This window comes from Homo sapiens, chromosome 2 (assembly GCF_000001405.40).
Source record: "Homo sapiens chromosome 2, GRCh38.p14 Primary Assembly".
Lineage (NCBI taxonomy): Eukaryota > Metazoa > Chordata > Mammalia > Primates > Hominidae > Homo > Homo sapiens.
The window spans coordinates 176,589,961-176,604,853 of NC_000002.12; the positions used below are offsets into that span (position 1 = coordinate 176,589,961).

General features: G+C 40.4%; 1 non-coding gene across 1 annotated transcript; it reads right to left on the reverse strand.

The window, feature by feature from the left end:
* Positions 11,020–11,092, reverse strand: MIR1246 (microRNA 1246). Its single transcript, NR_031648.1, has one exon. It is a non-coding gene; the product is annotated as a microRNA 1246 (primary transcript).
* Between the last annotated feature and the right edge of the window lie 3,801 nt (positions 11,093–14,893).

Genomic DNA, 14,893 nt, shown 5'->3' on the forward strand with positions numbered 1-14,893 from the left:
GCCTGTCACTGTAAAAAGGGTTATGAATCTCTGGAAACCTGCTGTACTGTCGGCAGCATAGGCACCAGTTTTCAAATCAGACGTCAGTAACTGGAACAGTTGGAGGGTTTTAAATCTCTACGAGAAAACTATTGCCATTTACAAACAACAAGGATTGTACTGAAATGGTGAAAAATGCACTTGCGTCATATTTAGAATGATTGTGTGTGGGAGGATATAACAATACTTTTCAGGACTGTAAGCCATACGTATATTCATATCTTGTGCTATTTATCTTGTAGATATACAGCGCTGGGAGTTCTCTACTGCTAGCTGTTAGGCTCGTAGCATTGAGGAGGAAAGATCCCAAGGCTTGTCACTGCCGTATATCACTGCAGCTGTGCCCTTTGATTACACTGGGGCGCCACCAGTCATTAATAACAGGGAAAGCTTTTTGTCTGGCAAATGCATCACTGTACAGTCTTTTCTTAACACCTAGGCATCTTGGTGCGGTAGCAAAGGTAAATTAAAGATGAAGCTTGTTTATTTTACAGCCACACTTGTGAAAATAGAGGTGGCCTTTCCAGAACCATTCAGGAAAATGTATTTTTCCCTTGCCTTGTAAAATTGAAATATTTTCATATTTTGCATTTGCTGAAGGGAATCCTGTCATTAAGTCACTCAAACAAACAATTTGAGCACAATGTAGTTATGATTTTAATTCCATCACTGTCACACTCATTTGGCTACCAGAGGGTTACAAAACAAGCTATCATCCAAGACAACAATTACTGTATAGACTTAAAAACCCAAATGTGTTCCTGGTTGAAGATTCTTGAAGAGCATAATGTGAATGAAACTTGCATAGAATGTTTTCCAAATGCGGAAAAAACAACACAGTCAAACTTGATGCTTACTGAATGTGTGGCTTTGAAAGGCTGATGCCAGAGGCCTGTTTTCTAGGCAGTAGTGCTTTCCTATCAAAAGTAATCCCGAAGCTGACCAATTTCTGAGAAGCCTGATCCACAGTAAACTAACTCACAAGAAATGGGTTTATAAATGCCACCTCCCTATGTCAAATGTTGTACTCTTTTTTTTTTTTTTTTTTTTTTGAGATAGGCTCTCTCACTCTGTCACCTGGTCTGGAGTGCAGTGGTGCAATCACAGCTCACTGCAGCCACAAACCTCCTGGTCTCAAGAGATCCTCCCACCTCAGCCTCCTGAGTAGCTGGGATTACAGGTGCACACTATAGTTTTCATTTTTAAGGCAAATGACACTGAATTCCCTATGATGTTCATTATATAAAGTTTATTTTAAAATAATGTTAGGGAAAGAGGCAGTCTATTTAGAGAACATTATTAAGGAATTCAAAGTACAGAATAGGTACATGGTTAGGACAAAACACCATGATTGGCATATGCAAATTACCAAACTATTTACTAAAGTTTGGACAACACTATTAATCAACTTTAAAAACTGCCAGGATAATCATTCTAAAATATGAATTAAATCCCATCATTGCCTCTACATAAAATTGCTCAGCAGTGTTCCAGTATCTACAGGATCTGATGCCTGCCTCCTCTTCCAAACCTATCTCTGTCCTCAACCCTACTCACAACCAAATTCTGCCCCTTCTGTGAGAATGCCACTCCCTCCCCGAGGGTTCCTCCTTACCCCTTACCCCTCAAGACTCGACTCAAATGTGAAGACTCCAGCCCTCAACCCAAGCATTCAGGGCTCATTTGGTCACTATCCAAGGGTTCTGGGCTAAAAGCGGTGGGGACCTCAGGTGAGGATGGAGCAGTCCAGGAGTCAGGTAAGATGCTTCAGTGGAAATCACAGAGGTCTGCTGAGGTCAGCAAAGACTGATGTCTCCCCAGCATCCCTCCTGCTTCAGCCTGCTTGGTGCCTATGCTGTGATTGACTGTTTAAACCAGCCCTGGGGAAGACTGTGGGAGGAAGTAGGAAGGTTTGAGGGTCCTGTCTAATCCGTAATCAACCCTGGGCTGTAATATTTGCAAAGACCTTGAGGAGAAACCAAAAGTTAAGGCAGAAGACCCGTCAGAGAACCAAACACACAAGATGGGAATTGAGTGAAGAGGCTGCACCTTAGGCATCAGTGGGTAACTGAGTCTCCATTCACTCTGAGTCCTAGTGAGGCTGGACCTGCCAGCCAGTTCCAGGTCCTGTGCGAGCTGGAGAAGCTCCCCAGATGTGAGGGAGACCTGGTTGTTATTGGCCCCCACCATGGTGGGGCTGGGCCTAAAGAAGGCACAGCACAGTTAATGACCTTTGAGATCCCATCAAGGAGAAGCAATGTGTTCCCCAATAGGATTCAGGATAGATTTCCAGATAAGAACAGGATAAGCTTCCCAAAGCCAGGGGCTTATGTTTTAGAGCAGAGATTTCTTCTTCTTGGTGGTGATCACAGAGAGAGTGGCAATAAGCTAGGCCTGGTAAGATGTTAGTACTTGTATGACGTCAGCGGATGGAGCTGGGCAGGAACAAAATCCCTGTGGATAGAAAGGAGACAGCAAAGATATGGGGGTGGGAAAGCACGCGGTGAGGGGGAGATTTACTTAGAAGAATTCAGGCCTGCAAGCTGGGGAAATTGGGCCGTAAAATTGGCATTGTTTTTTAGAATAATCACATAATTTTCTCGTTCTGGAGATTATCTTGACCTGTTCTTAATCTCCAGAGGAATTCGCTGCTTATGTATCCCTTCTTGACGCCAACCCCCTGTCAGTAACTGAGATTCAGTGTGTCCATGATCCTCAATAAGGGAGGAGATGCAGTGGTGGTGGTGGGGCAGGCATCAGCACTGATGAGTGGAGATTCTACTTTGAAAAGGTTTTACTCCACTGCAACCCTAGATGGTAATCAGTCAATTCCTGCTCTCAAGAGGAACAACCACTGGATGCTGGAACTTAGTTTTGGTCAAACATAGGGTTGCGCTGGATAGTATTTAAGATTCCTTCTGAGCTCAGATTCCAGGACTCTCTTCTCAAGGCTTGTTCATGCTGACAAGGTCATCTCCAAGTAGATAATATTTAAAGGAGCTAGAAATGTTTCGATTGAACTAGAAGAGTAGCTGCCACTTTTTCCATCTCACAATAGAATATTGATATTAGCCACTTTGAGAATGAATTATAAATCATTCCAATAACTATGAATTATATATTTATTGTGTACATGGAAGGCTGTGTGATATAAATGGGTATGACATGGCCCCTTACCTTGAGGGACTCTCAATGTGGTGAGACTAATATTTAAACACACAAATAGATGTGGCAATGTAACACAATGGTTGAGAAGGTGGGCCCCAGACACTGTTACATTGCTAAATATTTAACAATAACAACTGTTGATCTGAAAGAGAATTGTGGGAGGAGGGTACGCTGGTGTGTAGTTCATGCCTATTTCCATGGTGTAAATACTCTCACTATAGCTTATTTCAAGCTACCAACTTGACATCACTGAATGGAGAGTTAGAAAGAGATCCTAATAATAGACTCTCTAATGCTGGTATGAACTGGCTCTGGTGATAACCTATCTGGTCTTGAGTCTCAACTCTGGCATGTACTACTGTAGTCTCCGCTTTGTAACTCCTTTATCCTTTAGCACCATCTGGAAAGTGGGATGTTAGTGGTGCTTTTTCATAAGTTCATTTGAGGGTTCCATGTAAAGTACTTAGAACAGTGTCTGGTGCATGGTCTCAGTAAGCATGAATGTACTTATTATGATTAAATACAAAGAGGATGGAGAGATGGCTACCAGGTAGGGGATTCCAGGACTTAAGAAGGGGTAAATTTTTCTACAGGTGGGGATGGTGGGGATTGTCCTCCATCTCAAGGGTTGGGGGACAGCATGGCAAAGCCAAGCAGGTAAGAAAGTACCAATAATGTTTGGAAAATTCCTTGTAGCTCAGTTTGGCCTGGATACAGGTTTGCCTTTTTAGGGAGATTATGTGCTTAGGAATTAGGGTGGGCCACGTTGCAGGGGTCTTGAATGCAGGAAGATCGGACTTACTACAGGGGACAGTGAGGAGCCACTAACTATTTAGGGACAGCAGAGTGACATGAGACCTGGTATTCCCAACAAAACTTCTTTAAGCTGAGGGTGACATGAATGTCCAAGTGATGTGAGGTGACTGCTTCAAATTATCCCTTGGGAATGCAGACTTAATCTATGATTTAAAACCAGTATCGACTGGCTACAGCCAAGTCTGGCATGCAACTAAAGGACATCAAGGCAAACTCTGGGTTTCAATACAGTGTTCAGGACTCCAATTGGGCCAATGAAAGTTGTCAAACAGGTATATCTTCCATAATAATTAACTCACATTAATGAAATTTCCTATCAAGTAGATGCTCCATAGATATATGATCGAACTGACTGGAATCATCAGTTCACAGAAACTCTAATACAAAACAAATTGCTGCCCTTTAGAAATGACTTACAAATAGAACTTCTGCAAATATTATAGGATAGGAGAAGAGTATCACTTTCTACAGAGCTGATTGAAGGAGAAATTGCTCAGTTGATATTGTTTTCCAGAATGTCACCCCTTCAGAAAACACTCTTTCAAAATGGCTCATTTACTTTGCATCTAATTTCTATCAATTCAGGCTTTGTTTTGTAAACAATGTTCCAAGAGCCAAGTTCCTTTTTAACAGCTTACAAATTACCCCAAATCACACTATTGTTTGTAACAGCCTTCACATTTCGTGTGCTGATTACCAATTTAGAAGGTACAGTGGCATGCGTTGTTTCCTCTCATCTTCATAGTAGCCCTGTGAGAGGGAACTGCAGGACTTGAGAGTTGGAAGGGACCTGTGAGATGACATTGAAGGCCCTCTTTCCTCATTAATTCATTCAACAAACCTTTGTTGTATATTGACAGAAACTTGACAGAAACTGTGCCAGGATTACCCATGCTGAATAAGAGAGAAGGTTCCTGTTCTCAAGGAACTGACATTCTTAGTGGGAGGCCAACTGCAAACAAATGCACAAATGTATTATCAAGATAATTAAATTGTGGTATATTCTCTGAAGGGAATATACAGGTTCTATGATAGAGAGGATTTGGGTTGAAATTGTACTTTAGATATCACTGTCAGGAGGTGACATTTGAACTGAGACTTGAATAGTAAGAAGGAGCTAGTCGTTGAAGACCTTGGGGCAGAGCATTTAAGGCAGAGAGAACAGCAAGGACTCAGGCCAACAGTGAGCCTGGCATGGCTAAGGAAGGTGAGGACCAGTGTGGCAAAGCAAAATAAGCAAAGGGGACAGTGGTACAAGATGACATAGGAAACTTGGACACAACCCAGATTCTGAGGACTGAATTTCAACCCAAGCCATGGAAGTGTTCTGAGCAGAGGAGAGATATGTATCTGCTGGGAGGTGAAGGGATGTGTCGAGGTACTAAGAGTGTCAGCAGTGGGACCACTCAGGAAGCCGAAGCCCAGAGAGAGAAAGTAACTTTTTCAAGATCATTCAGATGGTTGGTGGCAGAATTGGTTCTAGAACCAGGTTTTCGCCCTCAAGTTTTAAGTGTTCTTGTCATTTTGCAAATAAGAAAGTGTCTAAGGGATTTTAATTACTGTTTGTACAGGAGCATCTAGAAAGTTTATAATCATCCCAGTCTTCAGAAAAAATATTATATTGCAGAGTATATTTTTAGTGTGTGTGTGTGTGAACACGTGTGTGTGTACGTTAGAAACACTGAGATCAGTCTATACTTCGTAGACACTAGGTATGTGGGTGTGGCAGACACACCTTATTGTCTATATTATTATAGTCTCCATCCTTTTCCTTTCTCCTGCCCACAGACTCCTCATTTTGTTCCAGATAACATTGTATTTTCCAGTCTCCTTTGCAGTTAAGAGTAACCTAGTTTTGACCAATTAGAATTTTGCTGAGGTTTTCTGGAAAATTTTTACTTTTCTCATAAAAGCCCCATTTTTTCTACATTCTTGTCATTTTCTCTTTCTTTTGTGAAACCATGGAAATGAAAGCCACATATTAAGATGGCAAAGTAAGAAGCTGGAAGGAGCCTGGTCCTTGGTGGTTTAAAAGTCATGGCACCAACTCTGTGCATATTATATTACTTCTGAACTTCATGGCAGTTAAGAAAATGTTAGTTAAACCACTGTGTTTGGATCTTTGTTAAATGCAGCTGAACGCATGAGCTAATTCACTGGCCTGGAGAGAGAAAGAGCGATAAGTTAATACACAGTGGCTGCAATCCAATATAAACAGCTTATGAAAATATGAGATGGGATCAACGATGTGCTAGAACCAGGAAAAGTAAGAGTTGTGGATTTTCCTAAACCAAAGTGGTATTTTTCTAAGCAAAGCTATGGTAGCACTTTCTTTAGGAGGAATTAAGCCATCAGCTTTTACAATAAAATTTCCTATCCATGTGGGCCCAAGAATCAAGGAGACCTAGAACCAGGGACATTTGAATTATACCAGGAGAAGGAACCCTGAGAGGGTGTTCAATCAAGCTGCTGTCAATCACCTGCAAATTCACTTAAAGCAATTGTCAAGAGGTCTAGGCAAGTTTAAGCCTCCTTTGCAGGTTATGAGTCCATCTGAGGTTGCATCCAGAGTCAGCTCAAGGGATTCTTGGTCCCTTTTATAGATCAGGCTCACAGTACATCTTCCTTCCAGGCTACTCACACCCAAGATGGTGATGAGCCTCTAAAGGTCACCCTATTTTCAATCTAGGGATCTCCATGGCTAGCCAAAGGAGATGTAAATAAGAGCTTTCTGTGTCATTTCTTTTCATGACTACCTGAAAACATTGTCTGACCCTACTCAAGTCCTTTGACAGTTATTCAAAGATGCTATTTGGGTCAAGGAGCAAAGGACTTATTCATGCCCTCATTTTCTCACATTAGAGCTGCTCTTAGAATTTGCATTTTCTCTCTTATACATAGACACACATAGACATTAGACTATAAATTTGAAGGCAAAGTCTATTTGTAATGGTTACTATATAATTCCAAGCCCCAGTACAGCATAAAGTACTATGTGTTATTCCATAAATATTCACTGTGTATCTGACTCGTGGACACAGACGTTCCTACAGCTTCCATAGAAAAGGCTCTAATAGGTCACTTACAGCTTCCATAGAAAAGGCTTAATAGGTCACTGAACAGGTACACAGAGGTAAGAGGAATATCAGGCTCTCCATCCCTCTAAAAGTTTCCCAGAAGCATGACCACTGAATACCCACCAGACTAAACTAAGAAATCCACCTGGGCCTTATCCATAACAACAAGATGTGACATTGAAAAAGCATTTTCACTTCTGAGGCTTCTGGTTCTTCTTGCATTATCCACCCACCACTCTATCCATGTAGCACACATTTATTGTTTCCTAGTTTCAGTTATTCTCAAATTCTTTTAGCTTGTGGGGTATCTGGGAAAATAAAGCATTTGAAAGCAAAGAAAGCCTGACCATGAACCAGCAGTCTCATGTAGCTACAACCCTGCAGGCCAGACTGTTACTCTAAAAGACATGTCATGGAGGTGGCTCAATTACCATGAAGGGGTTCCCTGCTGAGTGATGGGAGCACCTTTACAGCCTTCAGTAGTTACAATATCCCCTCTTAGTGGCTTATACTTTGGTATTAAAAACAGAATTTGTATCAGAAGTAAAAACTGGTCATGGCTCACATTTGGGAAATACTGTTGCCACGCTAATTTATTTTTCTTTTAAAAATACATCTTAACGTATTTTTTGACATTCCTTGGTCTCCTCTCCAAATGATGCCCTAGGAAACACTGGCGTTGCGGTCATAACTGGTTTTGAGCTAGTGACTTGCAGTGATTTTTCAAGCTTGGGTTGGGGGAGAGGAAGAAGAGAGGAGTGAGTTTGTTATTGGGCGTCAGGGATATACTTTTCAAAAATGCACAGCATCTTGGAAATTTGGTTTCCCATCACCATTTATATTGCTGAGGAATAGACATGTCTCTCACTCTGCAGTAGTGTTTCATGACATTTGGATTTACAGTGTTCAAGCTGAAGTCTCTAGCCCCTTGCAGTCTGTCAAAAACAGCTTCTTTGTCCATTTATTTTTGTCTTCCACACCCAGTCTGAATATCTTTTGTAAATTTATACTTGACAACCCTCGTATTTCAGTAGCTGGCTTTGGTTTCACAATCTACCTTGCTTGCTCAGTTACATTAGCTGAAACAACAAATTTAATCCATGATGTCAATAGTAAATTATAACAGAGAGGTAATATATGTCTGACATCATAAAGGTCAAGGCTATGGTGGAAACACTGCAAATTCTGGAGCCATTGTTTGAGCAAGTGGTTGGCTTTTGCTAAACACTAATATTATGAAAATCAGATTATAAAAGCTACATTTGGCTAATCTTATTTTTTTAATGGAAAATTTCTAAAAGCAGAAAGCTCTCATACTCTATACTGCACTGTGGATTTTGTTCCCATGGACATTGGCTATGTAATTATATTTTATATTTGGTAGTGGATAAATAATTAAAATGAGAATTACTTTCCTGAAAAGATTCATTTAGAGCACACATTTTCTATTACCATAGCTGTTAGATAGGGGAGGGGACATTGCCTCCTACCTACCTAAACTACCTTGCCATTAAAGTATCTAAATTACCTCGGTGAATTCTGACCACAGAAGTGGTTGATGAATTGCTTTTGCATAAATGCGCTTTCCCTTTGCTAGAATCTAATTTTATGAAACACACTCATGTGTGTGCCCACATGCACACACACACTCACCAAGAGACACACATATACCAAAGCAACCACTGAACCCTCTCAAGAAGAAAAATTGAAGGCTGGAATTTTCTCTATATAATGAAGTTTTTTTAAATGTTGCCAGTAATATAAGCATTGCTGAGGAAAGCCCAAATGGTTTCATCTCCTGTAGGCAAGAGCAGTTCATGAATCATTGTTTCCATGCAAAAGTGTTTCATTCCTTTAACTGGTGCTATCAATTGTACTGGCTGAATTTTTTTTTTTTAAAGTATCAAAATTTGATTCTGGCTTAAACTCATTTCTTACAAGTAGGGAAAAAAATCTTTCTGCAGAGTAAGCCCAAAAGCCATTCCGTGGATGAAAGGGTCTGAAAATCCCATCCCTTTTGTCATTATGATGTGTTTAAAAGCTTTGATCCATCATAGGCAAGCCCAGCAGCCAAGGAGGGTTCTTAAGCAGCTATATCTCTCACTTGGCGCAGATGTATTTTTATTTGTTAATTAGAAGCATTTATTATAGTTGCCATGTATTCTTGCTGCATGTGTTAGACTAGGAAAGAATACAGTATCTGAGCCCCAAGATATGATGTGGTGGAATAATTCGTGTTAGGTATTATCTCAAGGTAGTGTCATTTTTGTTTGTGTCCCTGAGAAGGGAGAAGATGACTTTAGTCCCCCAGTGTCAAGGATAACCAGCCGTTCATAAGATGAGAGTTGGAGCAACTGCTCTAAGGAATCTGAAGACAAACAGGCTGGCGGAAAGGAAGTCACCTCCAGTGCTCTAAGTCAGAGCCTCTCTGATTCGCCTGTCTCCATTATTGCACAGCACATGATGAGTCTGACTTTGAGAGATAAGTTGGCCAAAGTGGAGGAATGCCACATGCCTAGGCCACTTTCTCTGCCTAACTTTCGATCACTTACCATGAACAAGCTGAAGAAACTTACTCCTCAAACTGGCCTTTGCTCAAGTTCATAAAGCACTTCAAAGAAAGAAAATGACTCCTGTATATGAATGTTGTTGCAATTAATAACTGCCCATTTTTTATTTCTAAGCTATCTTTAATTTGGTGGTTGAGGCCTATGAATATGCCCAAGAGATCATGAACAAGACACAATTTCTGCCTTCAAGAACCTTAAAATTGAAAAATCACGACGAAAAAAAACAAAGCCCTCTGATCTGGTTTGGATTTGTGTCCCCACCCAAATCTCATGTCAAATTGTGATCCCCAGTGTTGGAGGAGGGTCCTGGTGGGAGTTGATTAGATCATGAGGCGACATCCCCCCTGCTGTTCTTGTGATAATGAGTAAGTTCTCACAAGATCTGGTTGTTTAGAAATGCGTAACAGCTCCCTTTTTGCCCTCTCCCTCCTGCTCTGGCCTGCTTTCCCTTCGCCTTTCGCCATGATTGTAAGTTTTCTGCAGCCTCCCCAGTCATATTCCCTGTACAGCCTGTGGAGCTGTGAGTCAATTAAACCTCTTTTCTTTGTAAATTACCCAGTCTCAGGCAGTTCTTTATAGCAAAGCAAGAACAGACTAATACACCCTCTACCCAGTCTCTCAGTCTATAATCCCTCTTGATGTCACGCTGCTGCAAGTGAGGATGAGAAATTGGAGAACAGGTGTGTGTCATTCACGATGGGCTTCATCACAGCGTCTACCACAGCGTATTTTGCTACACTGACAGCATTACCATCACTTATGTGTACTGATTTATATGCCAAAGAAAGATCACTGGGGTGTGGTGTGTACCTTGCCTTATATCACCAACATGTAACTTTGATATTTCTTCTTCATAACAAAAAAGAAAAATTATTTAATTTCTCTAATTTTTGTTACAAAGTAAAGTAACATCCTACAAAGCAGGTTTTGATCATTTCTGGCAGCAATCAGTTTTCTTCTCTACTTTAATTCAAGAGTAAATTTTGTTTTCGAATGAATGAATAAGTGAATTGTAGCTGGTACTATGATCCACCCACCTGTACTTCTTTTTGACTCTGATAGTGAATAGAAGTTTACAAAAGTTTACCCTCCTAGTTTGGCCTTAAAAACATAGAACCTTGGTTTCAGGGCTATTTGACTGCTGCTTTAGCTAAACAATAGCAATAATTAACCATTACTATGTCCCATGTCATAGGTACCATGCCTGGCACATCATTTGCTGTATCTCATTCAGTGTTTGCAATAGCCCTTTGAGTTAGGTATTGTTATTTTTCCGTTTTACAAAGAGAGAAGTAGGATTCAGCAAAACTCGATAACGATCAAATGCTACAAAAACAAAAAATAGGTTGATTGCTAGCCTATGGATTGATTTCCTTTGGGTCAGGTGTCCACTCCTGCTCCAAAAATCCATTCAAGGATACAAATCTGACCGCCTCCAAATGCAATGTCTCTTATCTCTGCCCAGTCCTACTTCATTGATGGTTCACATTACTAAGTTCCCTTGATGTGGATTATTCTCCCTGTTAATTCTCTCGGTCCTAGAGTGACAATTGTACTTCCTTTAGCAATTAGAAAGCAGTGGTTTCCTGGGCTTGCTTCATCACCTCAAGCAAGCCTGTTAGCTACTGCTCTTAGCAGGGGAACTGGGAACATGACGAATGATGGCCATCTGCTCCAGGAATAAACAAACTCTTCATTATTCCATTAGTGATTTTCCATTTCCTGCTAAGCCTAACAATTTATTAGCACTATTTAGGCTAATGTATGGCTGTATTATTTTACATAGTTACTTCATATTCTTCATGTGATGACATATTTAGGTGTTCAGATCCTCTGTGTGGTTTTCTGCAGACAGAATTGGATGAGTTTGAGAAGATAACTCTCCCAGCACTGGTAAGACCACCATTAATTCCTCTTTGTGGAGCAACTTTTCTCCAAGGATTTTAAAAGAAATGACCGCATGGCCATTGTGAATCAAATAGGTTTGAAATGCAATGCATTAGGAGGAAACATTTATGTGTGCTTCTCAGTCACGCTACACTGAACATAATTCTTAGGGTTGTGTTGAAAGCAGCACTAGACAAGGCCCCAGGACCCCAATTTCCAGCCCTCTACTCTGTAGGGTTTTTATGAAAATCAGCAAAGGCATGTAGGTGATGACTCTGAAAAAGTGACTCTTATCCAGACTCCTTTAAAAGAAACACCTTTATTGCAAGATCACACGTGGACTGGAATTGGAAGAAGAAAGCAAAGTCCCAGGGGATAGAGAACACTCTAGGTCTCCTCTGGCCACCTCTCTCTCTCCTTTTCAGGTGACATGTTCTTGCTCCCATTGTGTCTGTTCTCTGTGACGTTGCTGTCCTCTTGCTGTGGCCACTGCTCTCTCGACACTGACCAGCTTCTTTCTTCCATCTCTTCCAAGATTCAGAAAATGGTGGCCAAGAAGCCAAATACAGCCTGAAGTTGTGCTTTATTTGGCCAGCTTAATATTTAGATCAAATTTTGAATTTGAATGTTTTTGGCAAGGCATGTATTAATTTTTGCCACTTAGTTGCAAATCCGTACATTTACTTTTTTTCAGATGAAGGCATTCAAGTTTAAAACCACTTTATATATTTTCTCTACTTCCTTATCCTTATTCATAGTTTTCGCTACTTCTTAACTTTCTATGACTTCACATGCTGTCCACCCATCTAATAACGTGCTCTGCTACAATTGTATGTCCTGTCACTGCTAACCCTCAGTTGATCTGTTTATCTCCATTGACATTTCTGAGAAAGAACACTGCTGTCCCATATGACATAATAGGTCATTCCAAGACATCACTACTGACATGTGTATTGTAAGTGGAAAAGTTGTAGGGTATCCATTATTATTATTGTTATTCTTATGTGGTAGTATATATTAGGGCCATATAATAACTCCAACTCCAAAAAAATTTCTTTCCTGGCATATGTGATGATTTATTGCTTTGGAGTTTATCCAAAGACCTTAGCTAAGAAGCACAGCAGTTAAGCTATGGACCCATTTTTTTTACTGATGTGAACATACCCGTGGGTCTTCTGTACACATCTGTGAGGCAATAGTTTCAGGTTCAGACAAACCACTCAGGTTCTTAGTTGAGTGAGGTAGTCTGTAGGCAGAGCCAAAGCACCCTGGAGATACATGGGCAGGCACAGGTCATTTGGGGCTACCTTGAAAAGAGTTTAAAAAAACTTTTGGATACAACAAAGCCATCAGTGTTGAAGAATGTTATGTGGTCCTTACTTATGCTTACAAATTTGGCCCCTTCTTCATCTTTGATACACCTACCTTCTATTCACTCAGTCATTTGTCTGTTTTATTCTGTTCCAACCTCCTCTGCCAACATGGACTCAGATTAAAAATAAAATGAAGACAAATAAGGGAAAATAGACCATTTTCTGCTTTCTGCCAGGTCTAGGCACCAAGGCTGAATGTGTCTCTTTCAGTATCTCATTTTATAAAGAGATAAAGACCACAATTATCAGAGAAGCCAAACTACTAGACTGAAAGATTTCATAAATATTTAGACTTAACTAATAAAGTAGCATATGTTTACAAAGAATATAGTCTTGGAGATCTCATAACTAGAACTAATTAAGGTTGGGAATTAACTTTGGAAAGAACTCAAAAGCAATGAAAACAATTAGACAAATGATCTCTTAGTCCAGAAGATGCAAGATTTTGCAAGTGGCTATGACTCGGCCAATGTCTCTTAAGCTTTCTACTTTAGACATTGTACTGGAAGCTCAAGAGGCCAGATCTTAGCCCATGAGTTATCTGCCTTGGAACAATTCTAAGGGGTGTCATGAAGATAAAAGAGATAATCAATGTAAAGACATATCAAGCATTTAGAAAGAAAGGTACTGTATACACCCAAGGTATTATTAGCATTATTACCATTACCTGTTCTAGCAGGCTTTTTTCTTCAAGGATGCTGCAGTGTAGTACCCAGTTGTAAAAAGCCTAAGTAAAAACAAACAAAAACAAGACCAACATGCAAACAACAAATATCTTAAGGCCATCCAGGAATGCCTGGAAAATCATCCTTTCATGTGCGTGGGAACTTTGCACTTTTGAAGGCTGCAGGCAGGCTGAGCACAGAGCTTAAGAGCAACATTGTAATGGGACCAAATCACTTGGCTCACAAACTTGTGTGTGTGTCTTTTTTGGGAGGGTGGGGGAGGGTGTTGATTAATCCCTCTTGGTGGCCATAAGTGATGCAAAGGGCCCTAACTTGAGAAGAACTGAGTCTCTGTAGATGCCAACTGACCTGCCCCATGTCTTCAGGTGGTAATTCCTTTGCACCAATGTCAAAATAGCAGGGATTAGAGCAGTTAGCAAACGTTAAGAGGTGTATTTATTATCAGTATCATTTGAACGTCTTCATCTGCCCAGGATTCTTTTTTAAGACTTTGTTTTCCAGGCACCTAATGACTAACTAGAAAAGCCCAGTTAAAATTATTATTATTTTTTTTAATTTTAGTAGCAGATTTCCTTTGAGAGGAGGATGTGGACAATATGGGCATTTGTAATTTTTAAGAAGTCAGTTGTTTTAAAAAGGATGATAAGGGTGATATAAGGTTACATTCAGCTCATTCTCAGCAGTATTAAGTCAATGTTTGTGGAACACTGTGTGGAAACAATGTTGAATTAGGCCATAATGACTAGAAAAAAGGAGGATACAATAGCAACTTGGAGAGATGGGAGAGAATAAATTTAAAAATTGTAGTCATTAAATCAGAAGTTCCAAGTTGAAAAGAATCCCAATTGTCTTCTACTCTGGTTTCTCAAATTTTAACTTGGACAAGAATCACCCAGAGGTCTTGTTAAAATGCAGATTCTGGGCCAGGTGTGGTGGCTCACACCTGTAATCCTAGCACTTTGGGAGGCCGAGGTGGGTGGATCACTTGAGGCCAGGAGTTCAAGACCAGCCTGGGCAACATGGCAAAACCCCGTCTCTACTAAAAATACAAAAATTAGCTGTGCATGGTGGCACATACTTGTAAACCAAGCTACTTGGGTGGCTGAGGCATGAGAATTGCTTGAACTCATGAGGCAGAGGCTACAGTGAGCCGAGATCAGACCATTGCACTCTAGCCTGAGCAACAGAGCAAGACTCTGTCTTGAAAAAACAAAAAATAAAAAAATAAAAATAAAAAAGCAGATTCTGATTCAGAAGGTGAGGTGGTGGGTTGCTGA